General features: G+C 60.0%; 1 protein-coding gene across 23 annotated transcripts in view, besides 3 other annotated features; it reads right to left on the bottom strand.

Moving 5' to 3' along the window:
* Positions 1 to 20,404, bottom strand: part of AGAP3 (ArfGAP with GTPase domain, ankyrin repeat and PH domain 3) — a 58,568-nt gene that overhangs the window by 18,414 nt on the left and 19,750 nt on the right. For 6 of the 23 annotated variants that reach the window (XR_007059984.1, XM_047419866.1, XM_047419867.1 and 3 more), the window contains exons 1-9: positions 10,380 to 11,383; positions 9,170 to 9,228; positions 8,839 to 8,926; positions 8,565 to 8,650; positions 8,244 to 8,385; positions 7,677 to 7,811; positions 7,389 to 7,516; positions 5,876 to 6,034; positions 2,135 to 2,227 (exon numbers count right to left, since the gene is read on the bottom strand). Coding sequence is in view for 22 of the 23 variants with exons in the window: in XM_047419866.1 (XP_047275822.1) it covers positions 2,135 to 2,227; positions 5,876 to 6,034; positions 7,389 to 7,516; positions 7,677 to 7,811; positions 8,244 to 8,385; positions 8,565 to 8,650; positions 8,839 to 8,926; positions 9,170 to 9,228; positions 10,380 to 11,250 (1,761 nt within the window). In the remaining variant the exon portion in view is untranslated. Of the gene's footprint in view, positions 1 to 2,134; positions 2,228 to 2,382; positions 3,297 to 5,275; positions 5,502 to 5,875; positions 6,035 to 7,388; positions 7,548 to 7,676; positions 7,812 to 8,243; positions 8,386 to 8,564; positions 8,651 to 8,838; positions 8,927 to 9,169; positions 9,229 to 9,370; positions 9,655 to 10,063; positions 10,089 to 10,379; positions 11,384 to 20,404 lie in introns of those variants that run through there. The other 17 variants (NM_001281300.2, NM_031946.7, XM_047419870.1 and 14 more) reach the window with 13 other exon arrangements.
* Positions 10,439 to 10,498: a silencer, noted in NCBI's record as "silent region_18802". NCBI's record gives its function as "represses an Ori minimal core promoter by ATAC-STARR-seq in GM12878 lymphoblastoid cells {active_cell/tissue: GM12878}" and the evidence as "EXISTENCE:reporter gene assay evidence [ECO:0000049][PMID:35858748]".
* Positions 10,699 to 10,748: a silencer, noted in NCBI's record as "silent region_18801". NCBI's record gives its function as "represses an Ori minimal core promoter by ATAC-STARR-seq in GM12878 lymphoblastoid cells {active_cell/tissue: GM12878}" and the evidence as "EXISTENCE:reporter gene assay evidence [ECO:0000049][PMID:35858748]".
* Positions 17,181 to 17,843: an enhancer, noted in NCBI's record as "H3K27ac-H3K4me1 hESC enhancer chr7:150805265-150805927 (GRCh37/hg19 assembly coordinates)". NCBI's record gives its function as "activates a minimal SCP1, AML or CMV promoter by ChIP-STARR-seq in naive H9 embryonic stem cells {active_cell/tissue: H9 hESC(naive)}" and the evidence as "EXISTENCE:reporter gene assay evidence [ECO:0000049][PMID:30033119]".

Here is a 20,404-nt window from a genome sequence, read left to right as displayed (position 1 = left end):
CCGCCTAGCCCGTGCCTCTTCCCACTCCCTCTCCAAAGAAGCTACAGGGGTTCCTGCTCCCTCCCCGGCCGGCCGGCTGCGCACGGCGGAGCAGGAAGCAATCTGGGGCGGAATGGGAACGGCGCAGAGGCGCGGAGGCGACAGCCCCCAGAGGACCCGTTCCCGCCGCCGCCTCCCTCCCAGCTCCGCCAGCCGACTTAATTGCGGAGTCCGGATTGATTGGGAATGCAAATGGCAACTGAAATGCAATCTCCACTCCCAGCAGGAGCTGGGGGGAGGGGAAGGAATAGAACCGGGAGAACGGGACAGGAGGGCGGAGCAAGGAGGGGCTGCAGATCTGGCGGGGCTGGACCGGCGGCAGCGGGGAAGCGCCAGGAATGGCCACCAGGCTGGAAGAAGAGAACGGACGCGCCCCGCCCCTAGCGAGCGATCGTTACAGAACGGGAAGCAGCGGGCACCCCCTAAAGGGTGTCACTGCATCAGGCACAGGCCTCTGACACCTGCCCCCAGCTGGCGGCACCACTCTGGGCTGTGCAGCTAGAGGGCCTTCCTACTGAGCGTCCCTGAGATTTAGGGGTGAAAACACCCAAGTGACCTACTAACTCTAAGACTGGACCAGAACCCCAGGTTCAAGTTCACAGGGCTTCCTCCCCAACCCAACATGTCTCCTTCCTTCCCATGTGAGGGATTCAGGGAACAAATAAGTCAGCCCCTGACGACCAGTGAGGAAAGGGAGCACGTAGGACCCCAAGGAAAGTGGTCCCATTTTCGTAGTGAATTCGGTGAAGTGTGTCTACACACCCACTCACCGCCCACGCCTTCCCTTGCACTCCCCATCTCCAAGCAGGGAGCTGAGGAGCCTACGCCCAAAGCAGAGGGCGTCACCTAGCAGGGTCCCCCACAAAGGAGGTGCCCGGAGAGAGGGGATCAAATGAGCAACAGGTTTGTGCAGGGTCTGTCCTGCACAAAGACACACATACACACGCACTCCGCGAACGAACAGGGAAGCCTCTGGCTGCTGTCACTGTGCTCTTGGCTTTCCAGGGGGCCCTCCAGTAGTCTGGCCCAACTGGGGTGGTCACTGCCAGACATAAATGCAACGAACATTTCAAGAGAGGGGTGAGTGGAAACAATACGGATCACGGCATGGGACCCTGTGGGACCCTGCCCTCTGGGACACTACTCTGCTTGGAACTCTTCATTCTAAATGGACTTTGGCTGGGGGTCAGAAACCCCTAGCCTTAACGAATGAATCCTGGTCACACCGACTGGCCCCTCCCCACAAGCAGTCACACTGCCCATGAGTCCCAGCCCAGGAGAGCCACACCTGACCACAGGCCTTGCCACGCCAGGCTCAGGGGCTCTGGCCACGTGAGCCTCCTCTGTGGTCAAAACCTGGCAGTACGGCTGCCTATGTACATGGCCTCTCCAACCACCAGATCCCAAAAAATTCTGTGCCAAGTGCCCCCGTTCTTATGGGCACCCCAGCTCCTCAGGCTCTTGCCCACACACCAAAGACATGCCTCCCCATCCACCCCAGCTGCTCTGGCTCAACACATCAAAGAGACGCCCTCCGTGGGGCAATGCCGTGTCCACTGCAGGAATCCAAGACCGGAGGTGTGGAAGAAGGCAGGCCCAGGGCCCCCAGGACTGACTAGAAAGGAGGTGGGAGAGGTGAGGAGGTAGTCTACTTTTTTCTTTAAAGACGAACAGAGGCCCTTATTAACAAAACCATGCCAACAGACCTAGCGCTGGACTAGCCCTCAGTATCCCCTTCCACGCAGGCTTCTCGGGTTGCTCATTTTCCTTAGAGAGCCACTCAACCCTCTCCAGACCCAACTCCAGAACCAGCGGGACAGGCTGAGCGCCTGGCTGAACACGGCAGGTAGCTCTCTGCTGCCCTCCGGTGGTGATCAGAAGGTACAGGCAGAGCTCGTGGCCTGAAGGTGGCGGCGCAGAGAAGGTGGCTTCTCACTGGAGAGCCAGTCCCTTGTTAAGGACTCCGCCTAGGAGGGTGGTGCTGGCCTCTGATGCCATCTCCCCCATCACAGAGGCCTGAGAAGAGGCCCTGGGAAGCGCCACATTCCTGGGCCTCATTCTGAGCCCTGGAGCACACGGGAAGGGAGGCGCTGACCTGCTTGATGGGGATGGCGCGGCCGCTCCCGATGCTGTCCACCTTGCACTCGGCAGCCTTCTTCTCCCGGTCCAGGTCAGCACCCTTCCGAGACTGGAAGAGAAAACAAGAGGCGTGTTAAAGAGGCCCAGGGTCTGCCGAGAGCTGCCCACCTGGACTTCCCGGCCTCCCTCCTGCCTCCCTCCTCCTGGGCAGCCCTAGCAGTGGGTCGGGCCGGGGCGGCGGGACGGGAAGGAACTGAGACCACGAGTATTCCAACGGGTTTATTCTTACACACGGCACCATACAGAGCAGCACAGGTCACTGAGCCGGGCCCGCCCCTTACAAAAGAGCAAGGACAGAGAGGCCGAGGGCGCGAGGAGCACGCCCGGGGCGGGGGCGTAAGAGAAGCGGGGGCGAGGAGGTGGACGGTGGGGCTGCTGGTCGGGAGCACAGGGCGCGACAACCGGGAGCGCAAAGTCCACAAGTGAGCGGGCAGATGGCCCGTCTGCGGCACAGACACCACACGGCACGTGGCACCGAGCGCGTCGGCGTGGCCCAAGGGGCACAGTGGATGGACAGAGAGAGGAGAGAGGCCAGAAGAGGCCCTGCACCCTGTCAAGCTCCTGGGGCAGAGTCCACCCGAATGCGGATCCTAGGAAATAGGGGGAGGCCAAAAAGAGGGGGCAAGGCAAGCGCGGCGGCGGCGGCGGCTTCCGGAGCAGGAGCAGGAACGGCAGAGGTCCATGCAGGAAGGAGCAGAGGAGGGGAGGGGCAGGAAAGCGCCCCCCAGGAGCAGCCGGGCCGGGCGGGCTTGGACTCCCCCGCCCCTCTGGGCCTCGTCGCGCTGGCCAGCGCCGGGCGTGGGGCCGAGCTGCCTTCTTCTCCATGCAGCGAGCCTGCAGCGTCCGGCCGGGCCTGGTCCCCGGCAGCCCCCAGCGCGGGCTCCGGCGCTCCTAGCCTTCCCTGGGGGTGGGGTTAGTTACAAAGGTTCCCGTGGGTCTCTGGAGTGGGGAGCTCGGCGGCCGCTTCTCATCTGAGAGCAGTCCCAGGGCCCGGCCCGCCTCCGGCCCCGCACAGGGGGCATGTCCAGAGGTGCTGTGTGTCACCAACTGGTCTTCTAATTTGGAAGGAGTTGGAAAGGCCTTTTTGTTGATGAAAAGTTGGAAACAGTGGCACATATCTGCAAATATCGAAAGAATAAAGATTTTGGCAAGTTATACTCAAGCCCCGCACAAGTCGGTCAGCACCGGTGAGGGCAGAGACCCAGGCGCCTGGGGAGCGGCGGCAGCGGGATGAAGAGGAGGAGGAGGAGGAGGAGAAGGACGAGGAAGAGGAGAAGGACAAGGAGGAGGAGGAGAAGGAGGAGGACCAGGAGGAGGAGGAGGCGGCGGCGGCGGCGGGCGGCAGCGGCACCTGCTGGGCAGACACAGGCCAAGCGTCCACCTCAGCACGGAATGGTATGTTCGCCACTCGGCAGCCCAGGCCCCATCCCTCCCGTTCTCCCAGGCTGCCAGGAGCCAAGGGCACAGCGAGGGGACACAGGGCCACAACTGCAGCGTGGGAGAAAGCAAGGCCAGAGGGAACAAGGAGAACCGGGCAAAAGAGCCGCCGGAGAGCAAAGTGCCACCCAGCAGCTCCACAGGCGGCACCGCCCCATCCCCTCCTGGGCTCCACGGCCCAGACCGCCACAGCCCTCTGCCCCTTTGGCCCAGGGAGGAGGAAGGTGGATGGGACTGCTGCCACCGGGTCCCCAGACAGAAGAGCCGGTTTGGGGGGAGTGGGGTGCAGCCCACCCCAGCCAGATTGTGAGCCAAGAGGCCCCGACCACCAGAGGACCCCTGGGAGCCCAGAGGGGCACCTCCCCATGCGGACAGGAACTGGGGCAAGAGCAGCAACGAAATGAGCACATGAAGTCACAGGAGAGACTGGGGACAGCACAACCATGTCCAGTAGGGGGTCACTAGCCACAGAGCAGGCAGGACACAGGGGCTCGCCCTCGAGCAAGCATGTCGCTGCTGGGGAGGACGATGAGGGAGAAGAGGGGAGGCCCCAACAGCAATGATGAGAGGGGAGGTCCCGAGATACACCCACAGAGACGGACGCGTCTTGAGGCCGTCTCAGGGACAATGGTGCAAGTGAGGTCACCACAGAAACAATGGAAGGAAAATATAAGGTCGCCGCTGTGAGGATGGAGAGAATGGAAGCGCCAGAGGGAAGGCCGTGCCGTGAGCAGCCAGGAGGGAGGGCAGCAGAGTCGAGGCAGGCAGCAGAGAGCACAGGATGGCAGGAAGCACGGGGCGCAAGGGAGGAGGCCGGGGACTGGGCGTGGGCGGAGGAGAGGGTAGCAGGGCAGGGAAAGGCAGGGGGTGCCCTGGGGTTGCTACAGAGCTTGCCAACGAGGGGAAGGGGAGATTAAGAATGGAACTGAGGCAGCGGATGACTGAGGCACGATGCCAGGGAGCAGGGTGCCCAGGCCCTGGCAGTAGGCACCGTGGACAGAGGCACCTAAGGGTCCCGCAGCAGCAGCAGCAGCAGGTGTGGGCTCGAGCAGGCGGCCCCCCCCACGCTCTAATGTCTCAATGGCCATGGATAGAAAGGAGAAGCTGCACATTTAGGCAGGGTCAGGGCCGGGCAGCTGCAATGTGTGGCGGACCGTCAGCACAGAGTCTCTGTTAGCATGGATGGCCGCGAGGGCAGGTGGCGGGCTCGGGACAGAGGCAGGCAGCCGGGAGGGAGAAGTGAGCTGGGCAGGCAGAGGCGAGGATGAGTGAGCAGGGCTTGGAAGTGCCAGCTCTGTCCGGGCAGGGTCCGGAGATCTGGCCTGGCTGGCCGCACTCGGGCCCAGGCTGAGAGCCAAGCCCTGCTCTCGGAAAGAGGCGCATGGAGTGACGCGGAGGGGCGGGCGCTCTCGTGACAACCCACACGGGGGTTCACCCACCTTTGTCTGGCCCAAGACTCCTGGAACATCCAGCCAAGCCCGGCTGGAGGATTAGGGTTTGGATGGGCACTGTGTGTCGCACATTGGGAGTGGAGAGACAGCAGGCCCTGGGGCCTGAGAGCCAGAGGCCACCCTCAGCCGGGCCAGCACAACAGCCCCCAGGTGTGGGGTGTGAGGTTTGTGAGGGGTGAGTGAGGAGCTCACAAGGAGACAGGACAAACCTGAGAGGGAGGAACGAGGCAGCGTGGTGAAGCCCAGGAAAAGATGGCTAAGCCTTTGTTAAACCAATCACAGCGGTGGGTGGAAAGCATGAATTTTCCCCTCGGCAGTGGGGTAACGGAAAAAGAGCCGGAAGGCGACGGGGAGGCCTGGGCTCTGACTCTAGCTGGGCCAGCTAACCCTCTGTGTCGCCTTGGGCAAACAGCCTTCCGGCCGCCGGTTCATTAGCTGTTGAATCAAAGGGGGTCAGGGGAGTTAGGCCAAGTGAGTCCAAGGATACTTTCAAGCTCACAGACACCCTAAAGGGGCCTAGGAGAGAGGAAGGCGGCGGGGAGGGTGAGTGTGTGCGGCAGAGGGCAGGGAGGACTGTGGGGACAGGGTAAGGGCCGCTACTGGAAACCCCTTGTGGGTGCAGAGAACAGTCTGGAAGACTCTGAGGGCACCGGCAAGGACCCTCGGGAGCCGTGTGTATCTGAGGGAGAGACTGCAGGTACCGTCTTCCTGACTTGGGGCTGCCCACGCCCCTCCTGGCTGGGAGCTCGGCGCTCAGCCCTGCCTGTGCAGCAAAGGCAGCTGGGCGGGGGAGGAGGGCAGTCACGTACCGTGAAGATGTTGGAGCGCCGCTTGGACTGCTTTCGGATGGGTGTGGGGGTGGAGGAGGCAGCGATGGTCTCGATGCGCAGCTCCCGCTGGCTGATGCTGGGGGTGGAGGGGACTGAGGACGAGTAGTCGCTGAAGGCGCTGCCGCCGCCATTCGTGGCCTAAGGACAAAGAGGGCTGCTGAGGGCAGCTCCGGGTCAGGGGCGGGACGGGCACCAGGCGGGTGCCGGGAATCCCTGTGCTAATGGGGGCCTGGCCGGGGCTCATGGGCAGCAGAGGGGCCACTAGCCCCTACAGATGATATGGGGGGAACATTCACCTGGCCTGGAGGCCAGCAGGATCTACTGTCACCTTGCCAGGGCTGCCCCACTAGGGCAGCAAACCCTCGTCCTGGGGCCCCGGCAGGAGTGCTTCTGGCCAACCAGGGAGCTAAGTCAGAGGCACAGGCTGGTAGGTGGGAATCAGCTGCAGGGCCTGGCAGTGAACAGACTGGAGTCCTGACCTGCAGGTGGTCTGGAAGGAGGTAGAGGGTCACCCCGGACAAACTCTCACATTCAGGTATGTATGTTTAGAGTGCAGGAGGCCAGGAGGCGGGAGCCGGAGGTGGCCCAGGGCACTGCAGCATGTTTCTAGCATGCCCATGGCAGGGAAAGGGATTCCGGGACAGCTGGGGCAGAGAGAACAGAGCTATGACTCCCAATCAGAGTAAGGTGTGGATGTGGAACAGAGAAGGGAAAGAAAGAGAAAAAGACAGAGATCACAGAATGGAGAAGAAACAGTAGGGCAGCTCCTCCAGGACTCGGGAAGCATGCACGGCACAACCAGGTGGTCTGCACCGCAACTGCCCTCACTAGAGCGTGTGGCCTACCCGGCTGCCTCCCTTGAACCCTAACCTGTACAAGAGGTGCTTGGACCACTGCCCCTCCACAACCTGCCCCTCGGGACAGGGACCACTGCAGAAGTGAGCTGCGCAAGCCCCACTCCGTCGGTGTCGGGCGGGGCTGCTCAGAGACAGTAAGAAGGACACAGCCCTCCTCCTCCTTTTTCCCACATGGGAACGCTGCCGCCTTCTCACAGCCCTGAAGGGAAGGGTCTCTGAAATGCAACCAGGCTGTCACTGGAATACCAGCTGCAGCCAGGGCAGGCCTTGGAGAGATGACGGTCATTGGCAGAGGTAAAGTGCAGTGGCTGCTGCCTTGACCATGCCACCTGTGGATGGCCCAGGACTTTCAGCAGAGGGCATCGGGGTAGGGAATGCAGGCTGTGGAATGGTGGAGAGCAGAGAGAAGTGGGGATTGCAGCGGGAAGGGGCAGGCACCGTGGGGCAGGGATGAGGCCAAGGCTACGGTGCCGGCTAAATGGAATTCCAACCAATGTTTCCAAGCAACATGCAAGGCTGGGAGGCCAGAGGAAGGTGGACAGGTGTGAGCAGGAGGCCAGCAGAAGTGGCAGGACGCACAGAGGCAAGACAGACATGGTGGGGACAGGAAGGGCAGGGCGGGGCACAGGCCGAACCTGGTTGATGTGCACGGCCGGGATGGAGGCGGCGGACACGGCCGAGTGGCTGGGCGAGTTGGGCAGTGACTTGCAGGGCCCGATGGCCAGTTGCTGCTTCTTTCGCAAGGCCACTACCTTCTGGGCCACTGCAGGGGACAGCAGAGTCAATTATACCCACTGGAGAGAAGGGAAAAGCCTGGCTTAGCACCTCCCCCCAGACACACAGCCTTGCTCTCACTGGGAGCCTTCCTATCGCCAGCACTGGGGCCGCGGCTGCCAGTGACTCCCACCCGGCACCCGAGTTACCGTCCTGGAAGACACGCTCCACATTGAGCCCGTAGGTCGCGCACGTCTCATAGTAGGTGCACCGCTTCAGATCTGTGGAGAGCTTGCGGGCTCTGCTGTCGTCGATAACCCGGGGATTCGCAGCGCTGATGGCATCTGTTGGAGGTGGGAGGGCGGGAGTCATTCAGCTTTCGGAGAAGCTGGGGTAGTGTGGTGGGGGGCATTTGGCCCAAGGGCAGGTGTGCAAAGGGCCTGGTGAGTGGAACACACAGAGCACCAAGAACGCGGGTGCCTGGGTCTCATTTCAACCCTTCCATGGCCTCACTGAGTGCAAACCAGCAAGCACTTAAGCTCTGAGCACGTTTATTCATCTAAAAAAACACAGACCTGCTAGTCACAGGGACAGCAGGTTTCAGTGGGGGCAAAAGCCCTCAGACACGAGCAGCACGGAGAGTGCTGAGGGTCCCAGTCAGCACTGGGAAAAGAGTAGGGGCTTGGGGGCTTTCTCACACCTGCCCACCCCTGCCCCCATGCATCGTTGCCCGGGACTTCCTGCTCTCTGCCAGCTCCTGCAGGGCCCCGCCTCACCCTGCGTGCCCACAAGCACCATGGGCACCTCGCTGGCGTTGCGGAAGCTGCAGAGACGCAGGAAGTAGTTGTACACCGTCTGGAAACTGATTTCATCCTCCAGGCTGAACACAAACACCACTGCATCCACCCAGGCAGCAAACTAGGGTAGAGCAAGTAAAATTAGCACCCGCAACTGGACCTGGCAAACTCCCATGCAGGGCAGGTGAACTCAAGTAGACCCTTCTCCCTGGACATACCACCTCTCCCAGTCCCAACCAGCAAGCTCGAGAAAGGGCTCCAGGCACAGCGGTGGGCCCTAACCCTGGGCAGGAGCATCACCTGGAGCTCAGGGGGGCCTCCTTCATCTCGGATCAGCAGCAGGTAACTCTGGCCATCCACCACAATCTCCTTCTTAAACCGCCCCCCTAGGACAGAGCGCGCAGTCAGGTCCAAAGTGTGGAGAAAGAATCCAGGGGCCAAGAAGAAATCTACAGCTTCCCATGCGGGAGGGAAGAGGACTGGAAGGGGGCTGGAGACCCCCCACCCAGACCCTGTGGGCAGGAGCTGGAGGAGTGGCCGGCCTCAGGGCCCAGGCTGGGCCTGTGACGCTCACCTTCAGGGGACTCCTCCTGGACATAGGTCCCCGTCAGATAGCGGTGCACCAGGGCTGACTTCCCGCTAGACAGGTTCCCCACTATGCCCTGCGGGAGAGGAAGGGGTGAGTGGGTCAGAGGGCAGAGGGCACGAGGGAGAAGACCCAGCAGGAAAAGCAAAGAAGCAGCAGGAGGGAGAAAGGCCAGGGCTGAAGGGGAGGAGAGAGGGCAGAGAGGGCCAAGCTGAGCAGAGAAGGGGACAGAAGCCGGAGAAGCAAGGCCCAGGCCCGCGGCACCCAGCCTCGCCCCCCCAGCTCCAGGCCGCCGGTGCTGCCCATGGGCCACACTCACCACTTTAAGCTCCGGTACGGAGCGGCTCAGCGTCCACTCCTGGCTGTTCACAAACGAGTCTGCGGAAGACAGAGCCGCCCCGTCAGGGCCAGGGTGGCACACACACCTGTCCCAACCACTGCTGCCTGTGTCACCTATGATGCCCTCCCCAAGCCCAGGCCAGAGGACAGCAGCTTCCTCCACGGGACCCCCAACCCTCACCCCTAGTTCCCCAGGAGGCAGTGGGAAGGTTCTTCTTGAGTGAAGCAGAGTAAGGATGGTCTTCAGAACAGGACTCTGAGGGCTGTGGGCTCAGTCCCCCTGGTTTCGGCCCTGTGTCCTTCCTCCTCTTCCTGCTCCAGCAGGTTTATTGTCCCCCCACCAAGCCACACCTGGCCTAGTGCCCCTGTGGCCCAAATACCAGGCCCAGGTTAGAGGCCACTCCAGCAGGTCTCAGAACAGACCCAAGGGCTGGGCACCTGGTTGGGGGGCAGACTCCTGCAAGTAAGAACAGCGCACCCTGGCAGGGTGGGGCCACCCACCACATTCCTGAGCCGGGTGAAGAGGGAGGAGCCTGGCCTGGCCTGGCCCTGTTCTGCCAGGGGCAGGTGGATAGGGAGCCATCTACCCCACCCGCCTCCTCTCTAAGCTCCTCCTTAGCAGGGAGGCCGCCTCCTGGGCTCCCTTCCCTTCAGTCTGTCCTCAGAACCTGACTGGCAAGTCCCTTTACCCAGAGCCCTCCGACAGCCAGGCCCCCATCTCCGTCACCTCCAGGTTCCACATGGGTGCTCGGGCTAGCTCTGGGAACCCCTCTCTAGCTGGGCAGCACTGCTTCCCTCCCTGGCTCCCAGAGGCACTGTCCCAAGTTTGTGTCAAAGAGCAGTTATGACGACCAGGTCCACAGCAGTCCCTAACCTCATGCACAGGGGCAACCGGAGGCGAGCGCGCTGCCCCGACAGGGAACTAGGAAAGGTGTCTGGCCTAGCCCAGAGCCCTCTGACTCTGGTGAGTCTCCTCTTCCTTTCCTGGGCCGCACCCGAGAGCTCCCCCTCCGGCCTGTCCTCCTCGGCCACTGCCGAAGACCCCAGACGCCAGGCGCGGACGACACTCGGTCCAGACCCCAGACCCCGCCAGCCCCGGACGCGCGCGGCAGCTCGCCTGCCCTGGGCGCGTCCGGCTTTTCTCCCGCGAGCTGTTTTCTGCCAGACGCCCCCCAGGCCCGCCCCCTTACCGCTGGGCGCGCGCAGGAGCTCCGGGGCCGCAGCCGCCCGACGGCCCCACAGCGGCGCGGCGGGCGCGGGCTCCCTCCGGCGGAAGCGGCTCGTGAGCAGCCTCCAGAGGCCGGCGGCGGTGCGGGGGCGGCCGGGCTCCGGCGCTGCGCGCGGGGCGTCGGAGCCCAGCAGGTCGCGGCGGCTGGGGAAGGCGCCTAGGGAGCCGGCGTCGCCGTCGCTACGGGTGCGCGCGCGCGGCGGCCGGGCCAGCAGCCCTGACTCGGAGCGCCGCACCTCCTGGCCGCGGCGCAGGCGGAAGCTGAAGCTCTTCCTGAGCGCCGCCAGGCCGCGCCGGGGCCCCTCCGGCCCGCGCCCGCCGCGCAGCACTGGCCAGCGCTGGCTGCTCCACAACGCCGCGCCGCGCAGGAAGCCCGCGCTGCCCGCGCGCCCCAGACCCGCGCCCGGCGCCTCGGCGGCCGCCAGCTCCAGGCGGTTCACCTCCAGGAAAGTCATGCTGGCCGGCCGGGGCCGCGGAGTCGGCTCCCCGCGGGTGCGGCTGCGCCGGGTCGGCGCGGGGCTGGACGCGGGGCTGGGCGCAGGCGAGACGGGCGGTCCCGAGGGCGCCAGGCCCCGGCGGCCGAGGCGCGGGCGCAGGAGGCCGAGCAAAAGGCCGCGGGCGCCGGTGGGCGGCGGCTCCGGGCCGCCCGAGCACACGCTCCGCGGCCGCGCCGGCTGCTCACTGGCGGCGCAGAGGGCGGCCTGCAGGGCGGCGGCAGCGCGGCCGGCCGAGGCGCCGTGCAGGTCCAGCGAGTCGCAGACGCTGTGGGCGCGGCGGCAAGCGGCGGGCCGCTCCCCGGGACAGCTGTCCCCCTGCGGCCAGCCCCGCTCCATGCTCAGGGCCGGCGGGCGCGGGCCAGGCCCATGGCGAGGGGCACGGGGCTGGGCCCGGGCCGGGGCCGCGGCCGGGGCGCACGGACCTCCGGCCTCTGGGCACCTGGTGTGGGCCGACCGAGTCCCTCAACTCCTCCACCTCGCGGCCGGCAAGCCCAGACCTGGAGAGGCCGGGAGTCAGCCCAGCCCGGAGAGAGAGGCGGCAAGTCTGGCCTGGAACGCCCGGGAACGGCGGCGCGGCGCGGGGGAGCCGGCCTGCTGGGGCAGCCCCTGGGAGCCCTCGAAAACAGGAAATTCCAGCCCAGGGCGCCTCCTAGGATCCGGCAGGTAGGTGAGGAGCTGTCATTACGAGCAGGCCAACTAAATAACAGTCCTCAGTCCACCACACACTGGGCCCCATTTTGGAGAAAAGCGGGCCATTTCTCATTCTTCAAAGGAAGAGCCAGAAGAGCCAAGAACATGAGGCCCAGAAGTATGACAAGCCTGAGTGAGACGTCAGAGGCAGCCATGCCGGGTCTGCGCGCGTGTCCTCGTCTGCAGCACGCGAGCTTCAACGAGGTGGTCCTGTCTTAGTTTCGGCTCTGACATTCTGAGGTCGAGAGTTGCTGGCTGCTACAGTCGGTTTCTGTTGATGACTGAGGCTGTCTTCTTTGGAGATTATAAAATCCAGAAGATACTCATCTGTCTGGACTGAGTTAAGCGTCCTGCCTAAGGGCAGCAGAGAAGTCAAAGATAACCTCCGCTGCAGTTCTGGGTGAGTGACTCACTTCTGAGGCCCGGACCTCTCCAGGCCCCTGCTGCTCACTGGGTCTCACCTCCTGTCGGGATGATGGGCTGAGATCAAGTGGTAGCCTGCGGTACTGGCTCCAGCCTGACGTTCTGTAAATGAAAACACTCCTCCAAGCTCCGAGGCCCTTCCAATTCATGACTGTGGGCTGCCTGGACACCCAGTAAACCCAGAGCTCACCCAGAATTGGAGGCAAGAGCTCCCCGGCTGTGATTGACACTGCATTGTAAACATCAGTCCTCTCCCAGGCTCTGAAGCCCAGCCAGTTTCCGGTCATCCATAAAGTCAGAAACCACTGGCTGCCTCAATACCAGCCACGGATCAGGAGAAACCAGTTTAAGTAGTGGCAAGGGACCAGGGGCTTGCATTTCCTTTAAAAAGACAATACTGCCCACTTTCCTCCACCCCCAGTCCAGCCCAACTCCCAGCGTCCCTTTCAGCTTTAGAATTCCATGGACCTGGTCAGAGCCAAGTGGGAGATACAAGTGGCACATTCCTGAGGGGCTGAGTGGGAATGCCTAAGGAAGGCAGGGCCTCTCCATCCTAGGTGCTCCCTGCAGAAAAGAGCGCTGGAAATTCCCAAGTCCTGGGCTGGATCTCCCAGGCCTGGAGAGGCCCTGGTGGTGAGTTTGTATTTCCGTGGGACTAGTTATTAGCGTTGGTGAAGACGGCTTCTTCCTGTATGGGATGCATGTTCCCCCCACAATGGAAGTACCAGCAGAGGGGCCCTTCCCAGGTCCCCAGGCAGGTACAGAGACAAGAACACAACTCAGTGAAGCCGGCCAACGTCACTGAGCTGCAGATCAAAAGGAAACACATTCTGCCTTGACTTCCCTATCTACGTGTATCTGCCCTCTCTCTCACGCACAACAGGGAATGGCTGTTCTGCCAAAGAATAAGGCTGCCCACTCACAAGCTCATCCTGCAAGCCAGTGAAAATGCAAGCAAAGGGTCGGGCGCGGTGGCTCACACCTGTAATCCCAACACTTTGGGAGGCTGAGGCAGGCGGATCACCTGAGGTCAGGAGTCCGAGACCAGCCTGGCCAACGTAGTGAAACCCCATCTCTACTAAAAATACAAAAAATTAGGCACCGTGTCTCGCGCCTGTAATCCCAGCGCTTTGGGAGGCCGAGGCAGGCAGATCACTTGAGTCCAGGAGTTGGAGACCAGCCTGGGCAACATGGTGAAACCCCGTCTCTACAAAAAAAATATGAAAAATTAGCCAGGCATGGTGGCACGAGCCTGTGGTCCCAGCTACTTGAGAGGCTGACGTGGGAGGATCGCTTGAGCCCAGAGGGTCCAGGTTGCCGTGAGCCAAGATGGAGCCACTGCATTCCAGCCTGGGCCACAGAGTGAGACCCTGTCTCAATAAATAAGAAGCAAGCACAGGACAGCAGCTATGGGAGCCGACCTCTGGAGACGGAGAGGGGATGGGGACACGGTATCCGACAGGGGATGGATCACTTTAGAACCTAGCTGCCTCTTTCAGTGGGAGAACAGTAGGATGGGAAAGAAGGGGGTTAAGGCCCCAGCTGCACACATGCTGGACACACACACACACACACACACACACACACACACACACACGTCTCGGGGAAGGCAGGCAGCAATCCCAGTCCCCAAAAGAACATCTTACAGTCTCAGAAGACATGTAGTCCCACTGCACCTGCAGAATCAGTCCAAGGAGAAAGTGCCACCTGGGTCAACTCCCAAACCCAGAACAGCTTTCTCTTCCTCACCTGGCTGCCCTCTCCTTCCCAGTCCTTTTCCCCAGAAAACTTTCCTGACCCGGAGAAACTAGACAGGGAAGGGCACCTGCTCCCACATAAATGTCTCAGGACATCAAGCCAGTCAAAGACCCCGAAAAGGAGAACAGCTGCAGGCACACACCTCTTTTGCTCATTGGGTCAGCCCAGGGTCAGAGATAAGGTCTCTGTTGTGCCTGATAAGATTCTGCTCCAAAGACACGCAGCAAACACAGCTGTGCTCGACACAGACAGCCACTACCTACTGGGCCCGAAGGAAATTAGGACAAACCTAAAAAGCTCCAGGCTGGGACTACACGAACAGTACTGAAATCCCACAACACAAGCCCTCACGTCAGTTCTCTGTTTATTAAGGCCACCGGAAACGCTGGACTGAATGTGACTCTCAGGGGCTGAGAGGCTCCATGGCAGTTTCTGGGGGACTAAGAGGAAATCTCTCACAAATGCCCGCAGTGTGCATCCTGGGGCAGGACGAACACAGCCTGCCCCGGAGCCAGAGAGCGCAGAAGCCGGGCTCAAGACCCCCTTCTGTGGACTACCTGGATGTCAGGAGGAGAAGCCGACTCTAGTTATGCCCAGTTTCTGTGCTGGCCTGGGCCTCGGGTGCCCTGCTTGCGTGTGCACAGGGGGGTGAGGGGCCGGGGGGGTCATGACGGGGAGAGAGAACACCCCTGGGCAGGTGTGAGGTGTGAGACCCTGCCAGAAAGAGAAAGCTGGTCCTGAGGATGTGGGAACTGGTCGCCTCCAGGTGTGTGTTGCTTGATCCACTGGTGAGCCCTGGCTGTGCCCGCTGCAGCCCACGTGGCCCACAGGGAGTTGGCAGATTTCTTTCGAGGAGATGAGGGAGGATGGATAAGCCTTCTCCTGAAAGCCGGAGCTTGTGGCCAGCTCCGCAGGGTGTGGAGCAGAACCACCAGCAGCCAGGTGTGGTCCCAGAACCACCGTGGCCCTCCCAAACAGTCAGGCCCTTCTTGCCCACAAGGTGGCAGCAAAACATCTTCCTGCAGCCGGGGCTGAGGCAGTGGCTGGGAAGGCTGGCAGGATGCTAGGGCTGGCCACACACCCGCCACTGAGCCCGGGAGGCAGTGGGGGCCACACCAAGACCCCTTCGCCCCCCAGGACTGGCTGGTGTCCAGCAGGCTCTCCAAGTTGGAGCTTAGGGAATCAGAGGAGAAGACGGGGGGCGGGGGGAGAGCGCTCAGGATGCCTCCCCAGTGGGGCCACAGTCCTCCCTAAGTGTCCCAGCAGCTGTCCCGAGACAACTCGAGTTGCTGCAGCAGCAGCCATGGACCTAAATTCCACCCCTAACAGCTCCATTCCAGCATCCCCCATTTTCAACAGCACCACATGAGCTCTGGAGCCGCACAAGCCAAAAGCCTGCTAGTAACACCCTCCATTCCCTTCCTTACCACTCCCCCAGCCCAATCCGTGTCAGTCCTGGTGGCGCTCCCTCCTAAATGTGGCCCAGATCCATCACCAGCTCCTTTCTTCAACTCAAAGGCAAGCCACCATCCTCCCGGGCCTAAGCACCACATCAGCTTCCTAGGGGTCTCCCATCTCCAGCCTCCATCACCACCACTGCCAAGTGATTTCCTTTACAGCTGGGGCGGACCTCTTCAGACCAGAACCTGGTCACCTCTCAGCAAAGCCCTGCAATGGCTCTCCAGCTGGCGTAGAATGGCACCCAATCCCCTTATTCTGTTCCAGTGCCCCGTGTGCTCCTGACTACCTGCTTGCTCTCACCTGACACCCTCCCCAGGACCCGCCTCCATCCCCATCCAGCCTTGACACCTCCCGGGCCTCTGCCCTGCTTGTCCCTGAAGGCATTTGGACCGTGGCTGAAGCATCCCTTCCTTGGGAGGCTGACCATCTCAGTGACCATGCTAACATCATCTAACACTTGCCACTGTCAGCAAGTGCCCCCACAACAGAACTCTGCCAGGCACATGAAGGTGGCCATGATTCCCCGAGTGAATGAGTGGAAGTCTTTGCTGAGCATGCACTGTGCTCCCAGGGCTTTTGGCCTCTTTGTGGGGAGGAAGGCCTAAGAGAGATGGGCCCTGGCTGGGCCAGTCTTTTGAGAGAAGTCACAGGCACAGGCAAAATAATCTGCACAGGCCCCAAGTTGAAAGGCACGGCGCACCCTGGAGTTGAGAAAGCTGGATTCAAGTTCAGCCTCTGGCACCTATTGGTGGGTGACCAGCCACGGTCTCCTTAACCTCAGGTCTGTCTGTAAATTAGGAATGGCCCAGCTTCCAGCTAAAGGTGCTGTGCAGGCCAGCCCTGTGAGCATGGAGGGCCGCATGGTGCCTGGCGTGCAGCGGGCAAGCAACAGAAGGAGCTGCTCCTATTGCGCAAGGGAGAGCCAGAGTGGACGCTGGGATCACTGAAACCAGCCCTCTCCACATCAGAAAGCCAGGCAGATGCAGTCAGCCCATGAAACCTTAGCAGCTCCCCCTCAGCTTGGCTTTGATTCCTGGGCTGGTCCCTCCATCTCCCCTCTAAGAGACCTCAGAGATACGGAGGACCCTGGAGAGCCCTGAGTCCTAACCCCCAGGACCTCAGAATGTGACCTTATTTGGAAATAGGGTTGTTGCAGATGTAATTAAGATGAGGTCATACTTGAGTAGGGTGGGCCCTGAATCCAATCTGACTCGTGTCCTTATAAAAGGGGGGAATTTGGGCATGTCGACAGACACCAAGGGAAGTCAATGTGAAGAGATGCAGGGAGAAGACGGCATCGACAAGCCAGGAAGAGAGGTGTGGGGCGGATCTCTCCCTAGTGCCTTCAGAGGGGGCGTGGCCTTGCCCACACCTTTATCTCAGACATCTGGCCTCCACAACTGTGACACAGTAAACTTTTTGGTTTTTGAGACAGGGTCTCCCTCTGTTAACCAGGCAATCACAGCTCACTGCAGCCTCGACTTCCTAAGCTCAAGCAATCCTCCTGCCTCGGCCTCCCAAGTAGCTGGGACTTTAGGCATGCAACACCATGTCCAGCTATTTTTTCTTTGTTTTCTTTGTTTTTTGTTTTTTGTTTTTTTTTTTTTTTACAGAGGTGGGAGTCTCACTATGCTGCCTATGCTGGTCTAGAACTCCTGGGCTCAAGTGATCAACTGGCCTTGACCTTCCAAAGTGCTGGGATTACAGGCATGGGCCACCGCAGCCAGCTAGGAACAGACTTAGGTTGTTTCAAACCACCCTGTTTACAATGGTTTATTACCACAGCCCTAGGAAGCTATGAGCTCTCCAGAAAAGCTAGTGCATACTGGGAAGAACACACAGGTGTTTTCTGAGGAGGTCCGAGTCCCCTTAATCCCTGCCATGGGTTCCAGGTTCAGAACTCGTGTTCTGGTTCATCCTCTCCTTTTAGAGATGAGGGCATTGACACCCAGAGAGGGGAAGTCACTTGCCTGCAGTTACACAGCCCAGCAGTGACAGAGCCTGGGCAGGGCCCAGGACTCCAGAATCCCAGGCTGGAGCTTGGGCCTCTAAGTCATCATTTCACATTATTTTTTGAGTGCTTACTAAGTGCATTCAGGGCAAGCAGACTGAAGTCTCTGCCCCACCCTGCCTCAAGGTGACGCGGCTGGCAGTCTGGACTGGCGTAGGACCCAGCCTACATCCTTGGGACCCTCCGAAGGCTGCTCTGAGGCCCGGGGATTCTGCCCCATCTCCAGAGGTCAGGATGTCGGTCTGAGAGCTCCCCAGTGACTTTGGTCCTCTCCTCCCCAGGGAAAAGCTGAGGGAGAGAAGGCGGCAGAGGTGCTGGTGGGGGTGCGGGTGGCAGAGAGAGCCACAGGACCGAGAGCAGTGCAAGGAGCAGGGAAACTGAGATTACCCCAGGGTGGGGGTGGGAGTGGCTGTCATTCCAGCCGAAAATGGCCTTTCGACACCAGGCCGGTGACATGGCGGTATTGTAGTACTACAGATGGTACTTGAGAGCAGTTTGTTTTCCTGTCTATCCATGAGCTCTGTGCTGGGTGCAATGGTGGACAGGACAAAGGCCCTCCCCTCGAAGACTCGGTCCCTTAGCATGTCCCCCATCTGGCCTCCTGGCTTTGTCCCATCTGGCCATGTTCTAAGACCCTGGAAGTGCCCGTGACGCCACTCCAGCTCTGACCAGCAACAGCAACTGTGGGCTTAGCTCTGCTTTCTAGCAGCTCCTCCCTGGAGAGGAACGCGACCAGCATGTGCTGCACCCCCCGCATGGGCCGGTGCCGTGCCAGAGGATCCTACACCTCACAGCATCTCCAGCCCTCCCATGGCCTGAAGGGTGGGGGCAGGAGGTGGGCCACCACCACAGGGTGGGACGGTGGGGGCTCCAGACTCAGAATATGAAGCATCGTACGGCTCTATGCCGTGTTGCACCTTTTTCTCATAACTGACCCATCGCCTACACTTTCGACATTTAAAAATGTGGTTCTCTCTGAACAGGCAGGCCAGCTGCAGTCCCATGAGCTAGAGTTCTGCCTCTTCCAACCCAATGAGCCTCTAAAATGCATTCCAAGTATGAGATTCATTCCCTGTCAGCAGCACCATCCCTTCCACTTGCCTTTGTATTTTTTACAAAAGTAAAAAAAAAAAAATTTTTTTGAGACGGTCTCATTTTGTCACCCAGGCTGGAGTGCAATGGCGCCATCACAGCTCACTGCAGCCTTGACCTCCTGGGCTCAATCGATCCTCCCGCCTCAGCCTCCTAAGTAGCTGGGACTACAGGTGTGCCACCTCGCCCAGCTAGGTTTAGTATTTTTTTTGTAGAGACCGCTTTCACCATGTTGCCCAGGCTGGCCTCCCAACTCCTGAGCTCAAGCAATCTGCCTGCCTTGGCCTCCCAAAGTACTGGGATTACAGGCATGAGCCATCGTGCCTGGCCCCAAAAGCAAAAACTTTTTTTTTTTTTTTTTGAGCCGGAGTCTTGCTCTTGTCGCCCAGGCTGGAGTGCAATGGCACGATCTCAGCTCACTACAACCTCCGCCTCCCGGGTTCAAGTGATTCTCCTGCCTCAGCCTCCCGAGTAGCTGGGATTACAGGTGCGTGCCACCACATCCGGCTAAATTTTGTATTTTTAGTAGAGACGGGGTTTCACCATGTTGGCCAGGCTGGTCTCGAGCTCCTGACCTCAGGTGATCTACCTCCCTTGGCCCCCCAAAGTGCTGGGATTACAGGCGTGAGCCACCACGCCCGGCCGCAAAATATTTTTATAAACAGAAGATGCAATAAAGTGTTCAAATCATTGCACTAATTTTGCAGGACTGATGTGGAGGAAGTGTGGAAAACAGCTGCTGAAAGTGCAGGTGCAGACGTGCGAAGGTGCTGCACTGTGAGGGATGCTCTAGGCCACTGCAGGTAACAGTGCAGCGATTTTTTAAAAGATTCAGACAGGCTGAGAGTCTAGTGGACAGAAGTTTAAAAGCACCTGAGAGGCCAGGCGTGGTGGCTCACTCCTATAACCTCAGCACTTTGGGAGGCTTTCAAATCCTGAGCCTGAGGCGGGCGAATCACCTGAGGTCAGGAGTTCGAGATCAGCCTGGCCAACGCGGCAAAACTTTGTGCTACTAAGAATACAAAATTTAGCTGGGTGTGGTGGTACGTGCCTGTAATCCCAGATACTCCGGAGGCTGAGGCAGGAGAATTGCTTGAACCCGGGAGGAGAAGGCTGCAGTGGGTCAAGACTGCACCACTGCACTCCAGCCTGGGTGACAGTGCAACTCCATCTTAAAAACAAAAAAAAGCACCTGAGGCTGGTGTTGCATGCCTGTAGTCCTAAGGTGAGAGGATCACTTGAACCTGGGAGGTGGAGGTTGCAGTGAGCCGAGGTTGTGCCACTATCCTCCAGCCTAGGCAACAGAGTGAGACCCTGTCTCAAAAAAATAAATAATTTAATTTAATATAAATTTTTGCAAAGACTCTTTCACCAGCCTGAAGAGACAAAAGGAAAGACCTCACACCCAGATCTGCTGTGTTTTGAGGAGTGATTTTCTTTCTTCCGCTTGAAGAGGAAAAAGCTATTTTCACTGGTACATTTAAAGCCCCCAACTATGGGGAGGTACCAATTCTGGACAAGTGCCACTGCAACACAATGCTCAGAGTACCTGAACTTTTCAACTCTGTTGGCGGGGCAGAAATTCACTGCTGGCCACTGACAGGTCTGTTTCATATTTTCAAAGGAATATTGGGTGCTACAAGTAGGAACTGAGAGGTAAACTTATTAAACCCATTAAACCTCAGATTGGTTGGTGTTTTCCTGTCATTTTAAGAGACTAAATGTGGGGGGCAGACGTCAAAATACTTGTACAATTTTAAAATGTCACAATTAAACATGAGCTGGTTTAAAAAAAAAAAAAAGACTCTTACCTAGCATGGGTGGGTGGCAATGCTTGACTGTGTGTGTGTGTGTGTGTGTGTGTGTGTGTGTGTGTGTGGTGTCGGGGGGGGGGGCGGAATGGAGGGGTTGGAGACAGGCTCTGTTCCCCAGGCCGGAGTGCAGTGGCGAGATTAGAGCTTACTGGAGCCTCTCCCCTCCCGGGCTCAAGAGATCTTCCCACCTCAGCCCCACAAGTAGCTGGGAGCACAGGTGTGTGTCAGCTATGCCCGGCTA

This window comes from Homo sapiens, chromosome 7 (assembly GCF_000001405.40).
Source record: "Homo sapiens chromosome 7, GRCh38.p14 Primary Assembly".
NCBI lineage: Eukaryota > Metazoa > Chordata > Mammalia > Primates > Hominidae > Homo > Homo sapiens.
Note: the sequence above shows the minus strand (reverse complement) of the source record. Positions and strands in the feature narration are given on the sequence as shown.